Source organism: Homo sapiens, chromosome 7, assembly GCF_000001405.40.
Source record: "Homo sapiens chromosome 7, GRCh38.p14 Primary Assembly".
NCBI classification, from domain to species: Eukaryota; Metazoa; Chordata; class Mammalia; order Primates; family Hominidae; genus Homo; species Homo sapiens.
The window spans coordinates 37,660,795-37,682,244 of record NC_000007.14 but is presented as its reverse complement, the minus strand read 5'-3'; the positions used below and the strand labels follow the sequence as shown (position 1 = coordinate 37,682,244).

At 37.9% G+C, this 21,450-nt stretch overlaps 1 annotated feature.

Moving 5' to 3' along the window:
- Positions 417-476: an enhancer, noted in NCBI's record as "active region_25859". NCBI's record gives its function as "activates an Ori minimal core promoter by ATAC-STARR-seq in GM12878 lymphoblastoid cells {active_cell/tissue: GM12878}" and the evidence as "EXISTENCE:reporter gene assay evidence [ECO:0000049][PMID:35858748]".

Below are 21,450 nucleotides of genomic sequence, written 5' to 3'. Positions count from 1 at the left end.
AGTATTCACATTTCTTACTCCAAACATAATGTTCTAAGTGCTTCCAACTTTGTTTCTTAGTTTGAAGAGAAGGCCTCTGCATCAGGAAACTCTTCAATTTCAGCAGATGTGCGTTCTTTCTGCCATATGAGTTAAAATGCTATCTGCTTCAAAATAACTCATGCTAGAGATATTTCAAGCTTTATTAGTTGTAGAGAAGATTGTTGCTGACAAACCCTCCTGCTGAGAGCAGCTTACAAAAATGAACAGAATGCAAAACCTATAAGTTTGAAGGCTTCAGAAAGCTGCCCAGGCAATGACACCTTGAAGAAATAAAATCCCCAGAAGACAGGAAGTACAAATCAGTGAATCTGATTTTCAACTCCTGAGTACTTTTTACTCAAGGCACTGCTGATTTGAAACTGGACACTGAGAGGTGAAGAAACAGGTGAAATACAGTGGCTAAGATGCTCAGAAGTTAAGGAAATCTAGTTTAAGAAGCAAACAGAGACCACCAAGGAGGTGGTGCCCTTATAATTACCTCAAATTTTCAGTTAGGACCCCTGAAGGGCTACACCCTAGGAGACAGCATGTGCTAAAAATATTGTACCATCACAAAGTGGGAGCCCAATTTCAAATCACCTAAATTGCTGAATTAGGTAGACAATCACTGAATAGATAGGAGATTTGCCATCGTCATAACGACCTCCTCACACACATCAAGCAAAAGTAAATACTCTCTGGAGGACGATAACACTAACCAGATCAATGAATTGACTCTCAAACTTTTTAAACACAATGTCCAAATTTCAATAACTATTAAAAGCCATGTCTGAAGATAAGTCTAGAAAAACAGACCATGAAAATAAACAGAAAATAGAAACAAATGCACAAGGGCATTCAGAATTGATTGGTTTTAAAATAGCTGTAATCAATGTTTGAAGAGAGTACACAAAATATAGAAAATTTACACTAGAGAATTTTTTTAATAAAATAGAAATTCTGAAACTGAAAAATAAAACAACTAAAGTTACTTAACTGATGAAGACTAATAGAAGATTAGACACAGAGGATGATGGAATTGAAATATAGGTCAGTAGAAAGTAGCAGATTGGGCTGGGCATGGTGGCTCACACCTGTAATCCCAGCACTTTGGGAGGCCAAGGCAGGTGGATCACCTGAGGTCAGGAGTTCAAGACCAGCCTGGCCAACATGGTGAAACCCTGTCTTTACTAAAAATACAAAAATTAGCTGGACATAGTGGTGGGTGCCTGTAATCCCAGCTACCAGGGAGGCCAAGGCAGGAGAATCGCTTGATCCCAGGAGGTAGAGGTTGCAATGAGCTAAGATCACACCATTGCACTCCAGCCTGGGTGACAAGCGCAAAACTCAGTCTCAAAAAAAAAAGAAAAAGAAAAAAAAGAAATACCAGATTGAATAATGGCAACAAAAAAAAGATAAAAATTATATAAAATCACACAAAAGTCATGAAAGACATAGGGCAAAGTTTTAACATGCCTATAATGTTGCTCTGGAAAGAAACAAGAGGAAGAATTTGGAAGAAACGATATTTTAAAGGGCAATACATTTTTTAAAAAATCATAATAAAAAAAGACATAGACTCAAGAAGCACTATGAATCCCAAAGAGAATAGAAACAACAACAAAAACTCTACCAAGGTCCAATATATGAAATAAAAAAATGAAGAAAGAAATTTTAAAATTATGTTACACGAGAAGCTGAGATGATAGGATTGCTTTCAGCCAGGAGTTTGAGACCAGCCTAAGCAACATAGTGAGACCTCCATCTCTAAAGAAAAAACAAAAACAAAACTTAAAATCTGTTCGGAGGCAAAAACTTTTAAGTGTGCAACAATAAGATTGAAGACAGCCTTTTCAACAACAGCAATGGAACCCAAAGGAAATGGAACAACATCTTCAAAATTGTAAAAGAAAATAACTGCTAATTTAGAGTTCTTTATGCAATAAAAATATCCATCATCTTGATGACACAATAATATTTTCAGACAAACTGAAACTATGATGATTTGTAACCCACCAACATGAACTAAGGGAAATGCTAAAAGGAGTGATTCCAAAAGTGCAAAGGCAATCCCAGGTGAGAGCCAGAACTGCACAAAGAAACCAAGAGCAATAGAAAGAGCAAATGTGTGGGTAAACCTATGTACATATCAAAGATTTACAATAACAATAGTAATCACCTAACAGGATTTGAAATATAGGTAGAGTCAAAATTCCTGACAATAATGGGATAAAGCATGGAGAGATATAAATTGAATTCAAGTGTTCTAAAATCTTTGCATCTTCTTGAAGGTGGTAAAAGTACTAATTAACATTAGACTTTAATCAATCAAGAATGCTCACCATCATCTTTGGAATAGTGACTAAAAAATAACAACAAAATTAGCAAGATAAAACAGGAAAAAATGGAATGAAGAAATATTATCCAAAAAAATGCCAAAAAGTACAGAAAAGACATATAGAATGAATAGATAAGTAGAAAACAAAGAGTAAGAGAGCAAATTTAAAACCCCAAATTTGATGATAATAATATGTAAATGCACTGAGCACTTACCAGATTAGACTTTAAGGCAAGAAACATTATTGGCAACAAAGAGAGGTAATTTCATAATAAAAGTGTCAATCTTTCTAAAACATTACAATTCTGAATTTGTTGCAGTTTTAGTCTCAAATATGTGAAGCAAAACAATGACATGACGAAAGGGAAAATGGACAAATTTATTATCATAGTAGAAGATTTTAACAAACCTCTCTGTGATACAACAAGCAAACAAAAATTCAATGTGAATATAGTACACTTGAACAAGGCAATCAATAAACTTGACCTAATTCATATTCCTTATACTCAGCAAATGCAGAATTCACATCATATGAACAACCTCAATTAACCCAATGGTAGATATAAAGCAAATATAACAAATATAATAAGACTGAAACTATACAGAGTATATTTTCTGATAAAAGGCACAATTAGGCTAGAAATCAGTAACAAAAAGATAATGTTAAAACCTTTATATGTTTGAAAAGTACTCAATATACTTCTAAATAAATCACAAGCTAAAATGTGAGTACAAATGAAAATTAGGAAATACTGTTATTTGAATGATAATGAAAATTCAACTTATAAAAACTTTAATATTACAATTAAGGTCATATTTAAATGCATATAGTAGAGGTGGAAAGGTGAAATGAATGAAACTCGAGGTAAGCAGCAAGAAAGAAGAAAAATCAAGCAGAAGTCAATGAAAGATAAAACAAATATATAAAAGAGAAAATAAATCTACAAGTTCATTCTTTTAAAGACTAATAAATTCAATGAATCTCTAGAAAAATAGAGAAAAAAAGAAAGAGGGCACAAAATCCAAGTATCAAGATTTTTTTAAAGAAGGGGCTTAACTACAAATCCCTCAGGTAATAAAATGCTAACAAAAAGATATCATAACAGTTTTAGAGCAATGATTTCAATAAAATGGTGAAATAATTTAAAAAGCCATAATTTATATACTATACTGCCACATGAAGAAATATATAATACAAATAGTTAATATCTAGTAAAAGAAATGAAATCTGTAACTACAACCCTTTGAAAACAAATTTCCAGGCCTAATGATTTTATGTGAATTCTTCTAAACATTTAGAAATAACATCAATTTTACATATATTATTCCAGAGCACAGAAAAAAAAGATTTCTAACTCATGTTTTGAGGTTATCGTAACTTTGATAGCAAAATCCAGTGAGGAAATTATAATAAAGGACCTAAGCAAAGTCTACTCTGATTTATATAGACACAAAACTCGTAAACAAAATATTAGCAAATAAAATCTAGTGATACATATATATAAATTATAGCTGGGCATGGTGGCTCAAGTCTGTAATGCCAGCATTTTGGGAGGTCAAAGCAAGAGCCCAGGAGTTCAACACTGCAGTGAACTATGATCAAGTCACTGCACTACAGCCTGAGCAACAGAATGAGACCTGACTCAGAAAACACACACACACACACACACACACACACACACACACACACTAAGGCATGGCATTATGGTCAGGCGAGAATTATTCCAAGAAGACAACACATGTAAAAATCAGTGAGTGCAATTCACCACCTAGGCAAAATAGAGGAGAAAAATCATAGGATCTTCTCAAACAGAGGCAGAAAAATCGTGATAAAATTCAACATCCATCCATGATTTTTTAAAAGGCACCTACAAATGAAGAATAGATGGATACATACAAAATCCTACAGCAAACGACCTGCTTTAATGGGAAAATATTGAATGCTTTCCTCCTGGTAGCAAGTATAAGTCAAGGATGCCATCTGTTGCCACTCTTACTAAAGATGTTTTATTGGATCCTAACAGAATGCAGTGAGGCAAAATAATTAATAAAAGGTATAAATATTGGAAAGAAAGAAATAACACAATCTTTATTTCCAAGGGACATTATTTTATACATATAAAATACAAAGACTCCATAGATAGACTTATAGAATAAATTTGTTAACTATTGTAAAGCCAAAAGTTACATATTAATTTTCAAAAATCAATTGCATTTCACACTTGCAACAAAGAAGCAAATAATACAATTTTTTTAAATAATACCATTTTAATTAGCATCAAAATGAAAAAACTTCAATGCCTAGGAATAAATTTAACAGTAGATAAGCAAGTCTTCAATGTAGAATAATATAAAATATTGAGAGAAATTAACAAAGATCTCAGTGGGTGGAAGACTATGCATTACTTTCACATAAAAAGGTTCAATATTGTGAAGATAGCAGTGCTTCCCCAAAACTACCTATGTTCAATATATTCCTAATAAAAACCCAAATAAATGATTTTGTGAAAATTAACAAGTAAATCCAAAAATTTATATGGCAATGTAAAGCGCCTTAAATGTCCAAGAAAATGGAAGAAAATTAAAATATTTGAAAGACTGAATTACCAGATACCAAGATTTATTTTAAAGCTAAAATTATTAAAACTGCATGGTATTAGCACAATCATAAAGAAATATAGTATAGAGTCCAGCAAATGATCCACACGCATAGATGAACACTTATTTACAAAAACGGTGGCAATGTAAAGCAGTGGGGAAGAAGAAGAGAAGAAAGAGGGAAAGAAAGAAAGACAGGGAGAGAGGGAGGGAGAGAAGGAAGGAAGGAAGGAAGGAAGGAAGGAAGGAAAGAAGGAAGGAAGTCTTTTTAATAAATGATGTTGGGTCGATTAAACATTCAAATCAGGGGGAAAAATGAATCTTGAGTTTCTACCTCACATTATTTGCAAAAAATCAGTTCCAGATAGATTGTTGACCTAAATGTGAAAAGTGAGACAATAAGGCTTCTAGAAGATAACAAAGATTATCTTCTTTACCTTGGAGTATAGGAAAAATTTTTTAAGAATACAAAACTCACTAATCACTAAAAAGGAGACTGAGTCAAACTACTTTAAAATAAGACTTTATACTCATCAAAGATATCAAGACAGTAAAAAGAGAAACCATGGAATGAAAGCAGATATTTGTAGTTCATATAACTGACCAAAGATTCATATCAAATATGTATAAATGAGAAAAAAGATAGATAATATAATAAAATTAGTACATACAAAATACCTGGATAAGCAATTTGCAAAAGAAGGTTTTCTCATAAGTACAGGCGATGTTACTCATCTAAATTAGTCACTTGGTAAATGATAATTAAAAACAGCCATGGAATACCACTAAATATATACCAAATGGCTAAAATTAAAAAAACCACAATACCAAGTATTGAGGAGGATGTGGAGCAAATAGAATTTGCATACGCTGCTAGTGGTACAGCTAAAGCTTTACTTCTCAAGCTCAACATTCCTTTGTCTCATGATGCAGCAATTTCATTATTAGATATGTACCCAACAGAAAATGCATATGTATATGTGCCAAAAATACTACAAGAATGTTCATAACAGAAAAAAGCACAGTAGTCAAAATCTGGAAATAATCCTTGATGTGGCTTAACAATAAAATGTATTCTTTTTTAAAAAAAATATGGACGCGTAGTTGCTCTTTAACAATGAAAATGAATGAAATAATGTTACATGCAAAAACATAGATGCATTTCACAAACATAGTATTGAGAAAAGAAGCCAAAAACAAAGAATTCACTGTGTGGTTACATTTATATGAAGTTTAAATACAGGGAAAACTGATCTATGATGTTGCAAGCCCTGCCAGTGGTTACCACTGAAGGCATGGGAGGAGTGGGAGCAATTAGGGGAAGAAGGGGTACTTCCCTGCTATCTCTTGATCTGGGTGGCGAGCACTCAAATGTGCTGACATTGTGATAACTCATCTGGTTGCACTCTGTGATTTGTGCATTTTTCTGTGTAAACAATATACTTAAATAATAAAAGTTCATTTTTAAATGTTCCACACTAAAAATTTACTGGTACAGGTGATTTGACACTAATTATTTTCACAGTTCCATTATTATTATCGTTATTATTTTATGATGGAGTTTTTGCTCTTGTTGCCCAGGCTGGAGTGCGATGGCGCGATCTGGGCTCACTGCAACCTCCACCTCCTGGGTTCAAGTGATTCTCCTGCCTCAGCCTCCCTAGTAGCTAGGATTACAGGCGGGTGCCACTGCACCTGGCTAATTTTTGTATTTTTAGTAAAGACGGGGTTTCACCACCTTGGCCAGGCTGGTCTCGAACTCCTGACCTTGTGATCCACCCGCCTCAGCCCACAGTTCTATTATTTCTAAATAATGATTCAGCCAACATTCTGTTTTCTCATATGAAGCTTCACATTAAGTGTCCTCCTTTTCTGAATTACCTGCATGCTAGAGCTCATTTTCCTGGGAACAATGCTAAAACATCCTCTTCCTCACTTTGAAATATATTTGTCCAATGCTTTATCTCATTGAAATAGATGCCAGAACAATTAGTTCCAAATCCATATTTAGAGCTCATTTAGAACAAATTTGCATATGGCATTTGTGAGCTTCCAGCTCTCACCTATTAAATCAACGTGCAAAGTAAACTCTGGTTGAACCCTGCTGCAGATCTTCAAAATTATCTGAATCACCTAAAAAGGATGATTTCCATTATTGGGACTCCACACAAAAAAGAGGGTGGTGATAACATGCCAAATATTTAAAGAGCAAAGGAGGGATCTGTGAAGCACAGAATCTCAGTGTTCAGAACTACTCACTGATACTGGAGATACCCCTCCAAGTACCATCCAGTCTCTAGTTGTTCATCTTCTGACAGCTCTGGCATTTAAAGTTATTTATTACTTACAAACTGAAATGTTTCCTTATACTAACGACCCACATTTTAAATTCCCATCTTATAGCCAAGGAGAAAAAAAGTTTAATCCCTTTTCTCCCTGACAGCCCTGCAGATGATTGTCTTGTACGGTCTGAGTCTTCCCTTCTCCGTGTCTGGAACTGTGATCTTCTAAAGCAATATTCACATGATGTGGTTTTGAGTTCCTCCATTCTCCCAGCCACTCTGTTTACAACATCCTTCAGTTTCCGTAAGTTCCTCTTTCTTAAAGTGTTCATCCAGAACTGCACCAAATGCCTTCAGTGTGCTCCGATTTGTGAAATAAAATTTCTCTCCTCTTATGTGGTGCTTTAAGAACTGCCTTCAAGCACAGCTTTCACCATCCTGTGATTTGGGACCCAGGAGAAGGACCTTTTATCAATCATTATTAAACTTTAGTTTGCTCCTGCCTTCTTCAGGACTTTTTAGATCCTAAGTCTGACCACTCACCTCATTCAAGATGTGAAAAACTGTCCAAAACAACAGACCTGAGGTACAAGTCCTCCACCAGCTACCTGACAGTCTCCAGTTGGGCACCAGTTCATTCACGAGTGTCCTTTGCCTGGAGGTATTCTCCAAATATCATACAGGCTGTGTTTCTGTAAGGTCAACATAGCCAGCAGCGGCCTTGCCAAATGCCTCGCTGAAAACCACATACCTGTGACTAATGAATATTGTCCATCTTCATTCTGATAACCTGTCCAAAATATCCCTTTTGCAACTGAGCTTTCCAGCCATGTGAATTAGGATGTAGATGCTGCATTCACAGTAGTACAAAGAGATTTGGAAGTTCATCTGCACTCAATTCCTCCCCTTCATCTAGTAAACTGAGTGCCTGTAGAAAGACCATATAGACTTTCTGAGCGTCATTTTGCTAATTACAACAGTGGGGTAATTGCCTATATCTCTATTATAGATTTTTTGAAAATTTCTTTGTTTTACAATTTGGTGACCTTTGTTTAAAGCAGTATTTTCTCTTTAAAGTGTTCAACAAATTTCAAACTTCACACTTCAGAATGATCTGAAACAGAGGCCACCAAACATCCCCACCAGTGCAGAGGCAAAGGTTCTTACCATTTAATGCATTCAGATACTATATTTAGTTGTAGAAACCTTTGTCACCTGTAAAGAAATATTGTGAAAAGAAATAGTGATATCATGAAGATGACGAAGATGATGATGATGATGATGATGATGATGATGATGATGATGATGATATCCTGGCTTCCACCCTGAAGTCTACACCTGGAAGACTTCTGATGTTGGAATAACTTATGTCACTTGCTTGGCTTCTCAGAGTATGAGAAATTGTATTTATACTCATGTCAGGATACTACAAGGTATTTTAGGGCAGTTGCTAGGGTGACAAACATATTTTATGGGGAATATGAATGCACCTCAAATCTGTACTTCATCTCAGCAAAGGACTAGATTCAAGTCGTGTGTAATTCTCAGGAAACAGAGTTACAGAGTATCATTTTTAAAGCAGAATGTGTTTTTCCAGAAACAAAGCAGCAGGCCCTGCTCTGTGGGAGAGAATACCCCTATAAATAGAGAAGAAATCTAATGGTATTTTGTCTTAGGCAGGAAGGCTTAGAATATCAGGGCAGAATTTCAATTTTTAATGTATTTATTCATCAATAAGTTTCAAACACACACATGTACACATATCAAATAGATCTAGTAACTGAATCACCAAACAAGAGCTTTTAATCCAGGCTAAGCCCAGTCAGCTCCCATTTATGAGCTTCAGGCATCCTAGCCACGTTTACTGGAAGAGTCTCTGACCTTTTCTTTTGACCTTAAACCTTAACTTCTTGCCTCATTGCCTACATTAGTCAGGGTTCTCTAGAGGGACAGAACTAATAAGATAGATGTATATATGAAGGGGAGTTTGTTAAGGAGTATTGACTCACACGGTCACAAGGTGAGGTCCCACAATAGGCTGTCTGCAAGCTGAGGAGCAAGGAAGCCAGTCCGAGTCCCAAAACCTCAAAAGTAGAGAAGCCCACAGTGCAGCCTTCAGTCTGTGGTCAAAGGTCCAAGAGTCCCAAAGCTGAAGAGTTTGGAGTCCAATGTTCGTGGGCAGGAAGCATCTAGCATGGGAGAAAGATGGAGGCTGGAAGACTCAACCAGTCTAGTCTTTCCATGTTCTTCTGTCTGCTTTTATTCTGGCCATGCTGGCAGCTGATTAGATGGTGCCCACCCAGACTGAGGGTGGGTCTGCCTCTCCCAGTCCACTGACTCAAATGTTAATTTCCTTTGACAACACCCTCACAGACCCACCAAGGAACAATACTTTGCATCCTTCAGTCCAATCAAGTCGACACTCAATATTAATCATCACACTGCCAAGTCTACATTTACTCAGCTCTTGACAGTTTAGCCTTAATTCCTTTTAGTGGCCCTGGGCTGCACCCTGGACTTGAAGGTAGATTTAGCTTCTTCAGTTCCAGGCAATCTCTCTCTCTGATGGAGTCCCGGCTTGGAACTCATCATCAATGATAGTTTTAACACTCACTCATTCCCTGAGAGGTTCAAAGAGAATGGCCAGCTCTTGCTTGAGAAAGATAAGAAACAGCTACACTGTGTCTTCACCTTAGTGGCTTTAAAAGAGTTTTACTCTCTTTAAAAAAAAAAAAAAAATTCTGTGGCTTACTGTTTACTTAACATCCTTCTCTTAATCCTTTATTTTGGTCCCTGAATCTTCAGAGTGTATTTCCTCCAAGGATGACTTTATCAATTCATTCAAAAATGCTTATTACACCAGGCATTGTACTTAACAGCGTAGGTCCAGAAGCTGCCTGTTAGTTTGATTCTGCCTTTGCTAGGGAACGTGTCATCTGCTTGTGCAATGTCACTCAACAGCCTCCTTGCATTTGCCAGCACTCCATTAGACACAGTCTCTTTGCCTTTGAATTCCTTCACCTTTATGCACCAGTCTCCCTCTCACACACTCTCACTTTCACTACCATTTCAACTTGCACATCAAAACCTTAAATTATCTACCATAATAAACTCAATTGTTAGATTCGATATCCATATTTTGTATACAGTTCAACAGAAAGGTGGGTCTATGAAATTAGGAACTATGATTTATCTATTTCCCTATGTTATCCTAATTTCATAGGGAATATCTGGATTATCCTAATTTCATAGGGAATTTTCTATGAAATTAGGAACGATGATTTATCTATTACTGCTTCACCAGCACTTAGCACAGTGGCACCAAACACACTGTATGTGCTCACATGTTTGCTTAGTGGGCAGATGGACAGATGCTTACTTTGTGCCAGGCAGACAGTAAGAATTTCATAATTTTTTAATATTATCCTCACAACAATTTTATGAGGGTAGGAATCATCAGTTTCGTTTTATAGATAGGGAAGCAAACTAGAAATATTGTGGTAATTTGCTCAAGGCCATTATTAACAAATACTATTATTACTTGGTATTATGTTAGTCAGATTTGCATTTATGATATTTATAATCCTATTGCTAGCGTTTATTGGATACTTATGCCTTCAACAAATATTTTCTTCCTATTATCTTATAGAGTCCTCAGGCAACCCTGCAAGATAGTACAATTATTACATTCATTGTATGTATTCTCTACGTGCAGGACAATCTAAATGAGAGCTGTTAAATGCGATCTTTTCACTTACATTTCTCTCTCCATGGCCAACCCAGGAAATGGAGCATACAAAAAAAACTTCTGCTTTCCTAGAAACAGCATTACCTAAAGAAAATTAAATCAGTTTACATCTACAGTTGCTCCTCTGGTTCTCCATTACCAGAAAGTCATCAGGATCACTAAATTGTCATCACTAAATCAATTTGAAACTTCATCTTCCATTATTGATAGGGACCAGGATGGAACCACAGGTTTTGACATGCTTTGATATTATTAAATATATGTATTTGTTTTTTCTTACACATCATATCAGTTAAATAGGAAATAAAACTGTGGTGTGTTTTATGATAGGAAAACTCAACTATGAATCAGGTTTGTCTAATTTCCTCATTCTTCATTTAAATGTACTCTACCATCAAGTCAATATATCTATCAATTGTTTTCAGGTATTGAATCTTTCCTAGTCTTCTATTTCCTTCTCTTCATCTACAGAAACTAAAGTAAGTACCAAACACCATGAACCAAAAGTTGACACAAGGATGAAATTTCCTCTATATTGACATTTTTGGAAAACACAGCTATCGCTCACCCAGGGATTTTCCCACTTCCTTTCAAATGGGATGTCAATTGTGTTTGGTTGGCAAAGTGCCCAGCTCTGGTGGATCTATTCTCAGCCAATAAATTTTTAGCCAGCCTTGGTGATGCACATCCTCCTTGCTGGTGATTGGTCTAAAGATAGGAATATGACACAGGCACAGCCACTGGAGGTTCCTGAGAAAGACTTTGCTCTCCCATTTTTTAGGGGGTTAGCAGGGAGATAACAAAGACACCTGTCCTTTCTTTTTGAAACTGAGTTATGAGAACAAGCTTCCATAGCTGTACCCATGCAGGGGGTACTTCTAAGAACAAGTACCCAACATGCTGAGGTTGGCGTACTGGATTATTAAAGAGCTGGGTCTTTGACATCTGTCCAGGCACTGCACAAAACCCCTGTTCCTCCATGCATTCTAAAAATTCTTCTAATATGAGATAATTTAATGCCTGTAACTTTTGTCATATTTAGTTAAGCTTTCCATTTCTTTAAGTGCAAAAAAAAAAATCCCTAACTTAATCAATATGTGTTACTAGTTGCAACTGAAGAGAAAAAGAGACCATTTGCATCCTTAAGAGACAATTTAACTGTGCTGCCAGCAGCCAGAGCTAACATGTGTCATGTCCCTCTGTCGACTTGGCCAAGTTGACAAACCACAATTTCTTCATGAAAAAAAAAAAACCACAGGAATATAATACTTACCTCACCTGATTACTGTGAAAAGAAAATGTACATGACACATACCTGATATATAACTAGTGTCAGGTAACTGATAAATACAAGTTTCTGTGATTTCTTTAGAATTATCTCAGTGGGTGATGAAGTATTGCTGAGTAATTGATTGTTCTTTTTGCACTTAACTGATATTTTTTGTATGACAAAGGCTACAGGAAAGGCAGGAAAATCCTCTCTCTCCATATTTCGAGAAACCCCTCTGAAGAGCTTTTTTCATGAATGCCCACTGTGCCTTTTTCATTGATGCCACTTGCTATTTCAACCTTTCCTGTCCTAATTCATAGACAGTGTCCTACCACGGCAAAAACAAGCAAACAAACAAAAAACAAAACACACAGACACATACACAATTTTCAGACCTTCCACCATCCAGCTAATTTTACTGAAAAGCTGTAAAATAAACCTGCAGGCAAGTAAAAGTAGGTATTAGTGAAATTTCCCTGTTTTTTGTTTGTTTGTTTGTTTGAGACAGGGTCTTGCTCTGTCACCCAGGCTGGAATGCAGTGTCGTGATCATGGCTCACTGCAGCCTTGACCTTCCAGGCTCAAGCAATCCTCCCTCCTCAGCCTCCTGAGTAGCTGGGACTACAGGTGTACGCCATCACACCCGGCTAATTTTTTGTAGAGATAAGGTCTCCCTATGTTGCCCAGGCAGGTCTTGAACTCTTGGGCTCAAGTGATCCTCGTGCCTTAGCCTCCCAAAGTGCTGGGATTATAGGCCATGGCAACTGACTTCCTGTTTTTTATCTTTCTCTCAGCATTTTTTCTAGAAAATAAATATTGCAAGACCTCATCTGGGGAAAACTGGAGCAACATCACGAACTCATCCCAATAGTATTTCTCTGAAGGGACACTGGTAAGCTTGTCCAATACCCAATATAGGTGAGCACTAGACACACCCAAACTGTGGCTGCACATGCCCTGAAAACTTGCATATGAAATTTTCCCATTCTCCTCAGTTTTGGTCTAATTTTAGACAAGAAATCTTTTCCTATCTAGCTTTCTCATCTGAAAAAGGAGCAATCAATATCGTCTACCTTTTAGCCATTGAAGGGATTCACAGATTGCAGGAAAAACAAAGTACTTGTCACGAAGAAAACACCAGTGACTCAAATACCACTCTTAGAGGTGAGAAGACCAGATACATATGCAGATTCCTTCTTCCCCAGATATGATAAAATGCGTAATGCCAATGTGAACTTCTTGGCAGGGGGATTCTCCCTGTTAAGTGTATGTTTACCAGTCTTGGACTCATGACCATGAGTCTTGACTGACAGACATCCCGGTGAGCCTAAAATCAAGAATATTTTCATGGTCTGTCTCCTTAACTTGCACTCCCATTGTGTTTCTGCTAACATATTTTGCCTGGGATACATTTTAGAAGCTAGGACTACTGTGATAAACTTTAAAAATATGAGGCACTCAATGACTTAACATTGAATTAATAACTTCAAAGGAACTATATTCTTCCAACTTCAAGACCGCAGAAAAAAACGTCAACTCCACCTTGTATCAAAAACCCATCAGGTTGACAGAATAGATTAAGAATTGACTAAGCTAAATCTGGAAGCTTAGTTTCTTTCAATTTTAACTTTCAGAGCCAAGTAAATTGGGTGTCAGGCCTTACTTCTTTTGGTCTTTAATGTGTTTGGATTTTAACTTGCAAGAAAATTTATTCTTTGAACTAAATTCTCTCCCTTGGGATATCATGATGGAAGTCACTTACATTCCAAATTGGGGTGTCTCTCTTTTTTTTTTTTTTTTTTGAGGCGGAGCCTTGCTCTGTCACCCAGGCTAGAGTGCAGTGGTGCGATCTCGGCTCACCTCCCAGGTTCAAGTGATTCTCCTACCTCAGCCTCCCAAGTAGCTGAGATTACAGGCATGCACCACCATGCCCAGCTAATTTTTGTACTTTTAGTAGAGATGGGGTTTTGCCATGTTGGCCAGGCTGGTGTTGAACTCCTGACTTCAGGTGATCTGCCCACCTTGGCATCCCAAAGTCTGAGATTATAGGCATGAGCCATCGCGCCTGGCCTTGGAGTTTCTCTTCTAACTCAGCATCTTCATGTTATTATCTGATCTCAATGCAGAAGCCTATATTGAATTATGTAGCTGGATACAATATGGGATGAAAAATAATATAGCCAATAAAAATTTTAGCTTTGGGAACAGAGTGGCTACAGGGTTAATTTTATTTAACATTTTGTCCTGATCCTTTTCAGAGTGTTCAGTGAAAAAAAATAGTTAAAGTCCTAGGAGGACCCTAAAATGAAGAGTGATTGATATTAGAGGAGGAGATCTGTGCTAATAGAATCATAATCTTCCCTCCCAAAGGGGTAAACACAAACTCCTTGATTAGCATGAGCTTAATGGTTAACCCCACTGAATTAAGAGAAGCAGCAGCTGAGAAAATGTTAGATGGTTTCCAGAAGAGGAGGTTTTTCCTTATGTTCTCTTGCCTACCTCTTAATTCTCCCCATAGAGGTGAGAACAATTATCGTATTGATGAACAATAGCAGTTGGTCTCCATACTTCCATATTGGGTGGAGCTAATTTATCAAAAGCCCTAGACATGGAAGAGATTATCTTTTGCTTCTTTCTCCTCTTCTACCTGGGACCTACGGAAGTCAGCCCCTCAAAGTTTCCTCCCTGAAGGCCATTCTCTGTGATCATGAAGTTGGCAAGCCCATTTAGCTCTCACACCAAAACCACGGCATTCAATATCACTTTATATGCACGATAATCTTTATTTGGTCTCTCTGGATCCTTCATCTTATATCTCCAGTCACGTGGACCTCATGCAAAGAAATGGGCGCTCTTAGCCTCCCCTCCTCCTCCCACAGCCTGCACGTTGGCCAGTTTCTGTCTTCTTTCAGATTGTATCTTATACTCTTATCCTGTTTTGTCACCTTTCATCTCATTTCAGCATCCACGTTTTCTTGTTTGTCCTTGAGAACAGAGTAAATGCTCTCAAAGGCATTGTCTTTTCTTGTGAATAATCATCAGAAGAAGTTAATTGTTAGGATTCTTATATTTCTCCTCCACATGCCTTCATGAGCCTTGAGTTTGTGCTGTTGCCTCTTTCTCTAAGTGAATGAGAGTAGAGACATAGTGATGAGGCTGCAGGAGAGAAGGAGGGTGAGGAGAGAAGAGGAAGGAGAGGGAGGAGGTAAGCAAAGGAAGAGGGGAGAGAATCCTCACTGCCTCAGAAAGGAGGTCCGCACAGTAAGTTAGGAGTTTCCTGATCTTTTTGCTTGAATATGCTAAGGATGCCTTTGTCCTGTCTGGCTCTGTAGTTTAGTTTCAAAATTATAATAAATGTTGGGCAACAGTGATTGCTCAAGACAGGACCAGTCATGCTATACAAACAGGTAATGCCTCATAGGGTTGACAAATCATTGAACAGTATGTGAGGTTCTTTCAGAAGCAATTGTTAAGAAAGAAGATTCATGCCGGGCAAGGTGTCAGAGCCTCAGCAACAGAAAGTGATTGTCTCACAAGTAGTAAGAAGAATTTACCAACAACAGTATACATTTGAAGAGGAAAGTTTTATTAGATAAAAGAACACCGCAGAAGAGTGCGGTGGGGTGCCTCAGCAAGAGAGAACTGAGCACACAGTGGTGGATTTTTCCTTGAAAGTATTTATGGGCCTTAAAGCGGGAGCTTAAGAGTAAATTGGACAACATTAGCCATGTAAATAATGATAAATGATTACATTTGCAGGAATTTTGGTGCTTTGACGTCAAGAAGGGTTATGCAATGAGCTTCGACATGCAAGCATTCCAGAGATGTATAGAAATTCTAGTTATAAATTGTGGGGAAAGAAGCCTGAAACCAGGTGCTGGCTTTAGATAATAGGGAAGTCTAATTACTTCTGAATTCCCCGGATGAGGAGTTTGCCTCTGGATGGTCTGCCTGATGGCCACCAGGTGATCTTTGCTTTCCTCAACGCAGAAAATAATAAAGTCGAACTAATGGGTTTGACTCTCAGTCCACAAACTAGGCAATAAGAAATGTCCTGTTTATATTCTAGTCACATGATTTTCTGACTTCAAGCCCCCATTCCCACAGGCTATAGAGAAAAACTTAACACAGTTCTTTCTGGAGATTCCTTATCTGCCCTGAGCAGTGCCTCATGTCCAGAGTCTCCAATGCTGCCAAGGCCCAGCAGGGCAGAAGGAAAAAGGCATCCGATCCTTCATTGCTTGTCTGTCATTGCCCTATCAGGTGGCTTTAAGAAGACATTAAGCTCTCTGTCACTGCAGCTGATGAAAAACACAGGGAACATCTGCAGGGTACCCACAGCCCCATCTTTCCAGAAACACCAGGTAGCCTTTCTCTTGTATTCGGCTGCCCCTATGGCAGTATACCACCAGGACAGCACAGGATCCCTCTTTTCTTACAGCCAATAAACCCGGCTCCTGCACTGCCTCCAACCTGGGCAGACTGAGTCCTTCTCTAATCCCCATCAAACCACTTCTCTATCCACAGATAATCTCCCTGAGGACCTGAGAATGTACAAACAAAAACCACATCTATTGTTTTTTAATCTCGTGACAAATTTCTGTGCTTGTTTCAATGTGGGGAAGAAAAAGGGGAATAGATCAGTAGAAAAAAATATATGAAACACTAACCAGCCATCCACCATCCTAACTACAAAAACGCTCCTCTTATCTTTCCCCGCCCCCTGCCTCACAGCTTTGTGTTAACCGCATATTTGCCATAACAAGGATTCAATTAAATGTAGAATTTTAAAATAATAATTGTGTTTTTCAAAAAATGGTATGTAAGAGTACCCCCATTTTTCTAAGAGATAGTTTGTTATTTTTCTCCTTTTCTCCTTTCCCCTTACCCCTACTTCTCACTTAGCCCTTTCTGAAATGCAAAATAACCTCTTGCCTCTCCCTCACCAGATACTCCCTAGAAGGCAAGCTCATCTCTGTGCTCTGGATCTCTCCTCTAGAGTTGACAGTCTATTTCCAGATCAAAGCATGTCCCCATGGAGCTCCCACCTCCAGGTGCATGCTTTAGGCATGCCCACTTGGCTACTTCAACAACTGACTCCTGCCCAGAAAGATGCCAACTCAACTGCCTAGTTGATAATTTCTGGGTATCAGAAGACCCCCTGCCCTTGCTTACTTCATTCCTTACCTAATAAAAGTGCCCACTTTTTGTTCCAAAAGCAAAGGGGCACATTCAAAGCAGGGTGAACTTCCCCCAAGCTAGCTTCAGAAATAAATTCCTTTTCTTGTACCAATGAGGCAGGAGAACAGGGTCTGGAGACAGGGAACTTAAGGCCAATTTGTGCTAACTTCCTAAAAGAGAAAACACCAAGGTCTGGGGGCAGGAAATCTACGGCCAGTTCACACTGACTTCCCAATACCTCGCTTTTGTTATTTGGGCTCTTCATGCAGAGGGCAACTAACCTGTTTTGTGGCTACAAATACATATTTCCTTTGGATACTTTGGAAAATTCATAATACTATAGTGAAGAAAATAGTAATATACAATGCCACCACTCTGAAATAAACACAAATGAGGTATTGATATGCACACATATGGGTAGTTTTCAAGAATTTTATGTGGCAGGTTAGCTGAGTTGGAAATTAAGGGTTTGATTTTTCTCAGCTGTAAGAAATATTGTAGCCAATATTTCTATTTAGTTAGGCATTATACATTTCAATACTCAAAAATTTGGAGCCCAATATTTTATGAGGTTATTTTTACTATGGAATGTTTCTTTCGCTAATATAGAGTAACATTAAATTGTTCTGTTTAATTTTTAAATTTTTGCCTTAAATATGCTTTTAATATTTCTATTGTCTTCCTTGAGTCTGTTCATGGCTTCCTAATACCTAAATTTTACTTTTAAGTTAGTTCTGATTTCCCTGTTTTAACATTTGTTTTAGTTTGAGAGTCTTTTATTTAGTAGGTAACTTTACTCATGACAGATATTATCACAATTTCTGTTTCGTCTTGCTCCTTGTAAGGCTTAACAGGAAGTACGGCTAGGAGGACTCAGGAAACTTACAATCATGATGGAAGGCAAAGGGGAAGCAAGCACATCTGACATGGTGGTAAGTGAGAGAGAGGGCGGCGGGGGGAGGGAGGGAGGAAGAGAGAGAGAGAGAGGAGAGAAATTGCCATGTATAAAACCATCAGATCTTGTGAGAACTTACTGACTATTCTGAGAACAGCATGGGGGGAAATGGCCCTCATGATCCAATCACCTCCTACCAGGTCCCTCCCTCAACATCTGAGGATTATGATTTGAATAACAATTCAAGATGAGATTTGGGTGAGGACACAGAGCCAAACCATATTACTCCCGTAACCGCCCAAAGGGTTCACCTTGCCCAATGCCTAGGCAGAGTCAATTTGTCAAGAAAGGGGAATTATGATGGAGAAAAAGTAATTCACACAGAGCTGGCTGTGTGGAAGATGGGAGTTTTATTATTACTCAAATCAGTCTCCCCAAGCTTTCAGGGATAGGAGTTTTTATTTATTTATTTATTTTTTGAGATGGAGTCTCACTCCGTCGCCCAGGCTAGAGTGCTGTGGCGCCATCTCTGCTCACTGCAAGCTCTGCCTCCAGGGTTCACATCATTCTCCTGCCTCAGCCTCCTAAGTACCTGGGACTACGGGCGCCTGCCACCACGCCCGGCTAATTTTTCTTTGTATTTTTCGTAGAGACGGGGTGTCGCTGTGTTAGCCAGGATGGTCTTGATCTCCTGACCTCGCGATCCGCCTGCCTCGGCCTCCCAAAGTGCTGGGATTACAGGCGTGAGCCACTGCACCCAGCCAGAGATAAGAGTTTTTAAGGATAATTTGGCAGGCAGGGGCTCGGGAAGTGGGGGGTGCTGATTGGTCTGGTAGGAGATGGAATCATAGAGGGTCAAAGTCAGTTTTTCTTGCTGTTTTCTTTTCCTGGGTGGGATTGTAGAATTGGATGAGCCAGATTACTGGTTTGGTAGTGTCAGCTGGCACATCAAGTGCAGGGTCTGCAAACTGTCTCAAACACTGATTTTAGGTTTTACAATAGTGATGTTATCCCCAGGAGCAATTTGGGGAGGCTCACCAGTGTATGTGAGGTGGATCTGTTTACACACTGGTGAAGTCTTTGACAATAAATGTCCTGATCACGTTTCACTAATAAGAACAAATAGAATTGGTATAGGAGGCGATCACACTGTGAAACAATTTATTTTAAGATCGCTCCATCTTGTCAGAACCAGGTGTTGTCTCTTTGCCCAAATGTTAGCTGTCACTCTTCAGGCTTTTTCAATTGAGACAAATGAGGCTTTCATTCCTATTGATTACCAAGTCCAATCAACAGGTTAGCACAATCAGTTTAGGGTAACTATATTTAAAAGAGCTGAATAGATTTAGCAATAACAACACAAAAAGGTTTCCCTCACATTAAGTATAAGATCTGACAGAATCTGTTATACATAATTTTGTGTATGTTCTCCTAACTCTTTTGCCTACAGAATAAATTCCAGTGCCTCTCAGGTGAAAACTAAAACCCGGCTCTCTTTGTATGTACTAAATCTGTTTGTCTCCAATCACTCCACAGTTATGACCACAACTTTTCTACTTGCCAGACCTGATTATTTACTATTTTCCAATTTAACTACAAGCTTTTATATCTTGATGACTTTACTCAGGTTTCCAAAATGTATGCTCCCCTGCCTGTCCAAAGAGAAGACTTTTGTTTCTCATGACTCAGTTCAAATATCTCATTCTTTGTAACCTCACCTTCCTTTTGAGTAAAATTATTTGTTTCTTCAAGTTTATTCCTATAGCAATTACCACACTGCACCACATTAGTATGTAACACTGATATCTTTGAGAGAAGGAACTGTGTACTATTTACATTTGAATCCCCAGACCTAGCACAAATGGAACAGACATCTATTCCTTCACTCATTTACTGAAAAAACAATTCATTACTGTTAAATCAAGTTTAGCCTAAAGCTGCCTCCTTACATGTTTAAGTTCGGCCTGAAGGTTTTTCTGTACATTGTGAACTATAACAAGTGAAGGTGTAAATCAACCACAGCCCACACCTGTGCCAATCACTGAGTTTTGGCCAATCAAATGTAGCCAACTGTTCAAACCATGTTCAAATAAGGCAAACACAGAGCCGTAAACAATCCAGTTGCTTCTGTACCTCACTTCCGTTTTCTGTACATCACTTTTCTTTGGCTGTCCGTAAATCTTCTTCCACCACGTGGCTGCGCTGGAGTCTCTGAATCTGCTGTGATTCTGGGGTCTGCTCAATTTGAGAATCATTCATTGCTCAATTAAACCCCTTTAAATTTAATTCAGCTGAAGGTTTTCTTTTAACATGACTTACCGTATTCCAGACACTATTCTAGGCTCTCACAATACAATAATGAAAGAACAAAGTCTCTACTTTTTTAGAACATCCTCAATAAAAAACAGTTTAGTGGAATCGAAACTTTTGAAAATATTATATATTTTAGATTGTATCCTTATGAAATTGGATGGCTGACTTTAAAAGAAATTTAGTCTAACTGATTTATTCTCCATCTGACTTATATGAGAAATCATTCCTTTGTGATGCTATTTAGCTGCTTTTTTGGAATTTATTGAAATAATTCAGTATTTTTTCTTCATTAAAACACACTTAGCATAGAGTTATGAGCTTCTTTCAGAAATTGTAAAATGAATAAAGTAGGCATGAAGGTTTTACTGAAACTTGAAACTGGGCTCAGCAGGTGGCCTTAGCACAAAGTAAGGGTTCACTAAGTATTTGCAGAGTGAATGAGTGAACGAATGTATTTACAGAGCAATGCCTCTGTTATAAGATAGTTATCGAGGAAGGTAAAATGATAACTACATACTGGTTGCTTAAAATAGATACAATTTCTATATACAGTATATTTCTATACATATGAGTCCATTTTTTTTCTCAGAAATTCAAATTTTATATTCACCACAAGGTAGGATAGATTCTACTTGATTATTTGAAAAGATTTTATTTCTACAGCAGAAAAGGAATGAATCCATCTGTCAGAGGTGTTTGAACCAGGGCAATTCCATCTTGAATAGGGGCTGGGTAAAATAAGGCTGAAACCTACTGGGCTGCATTCCCAGGAGGTTAGACATTCTATGTCATAGGATGAGATAGG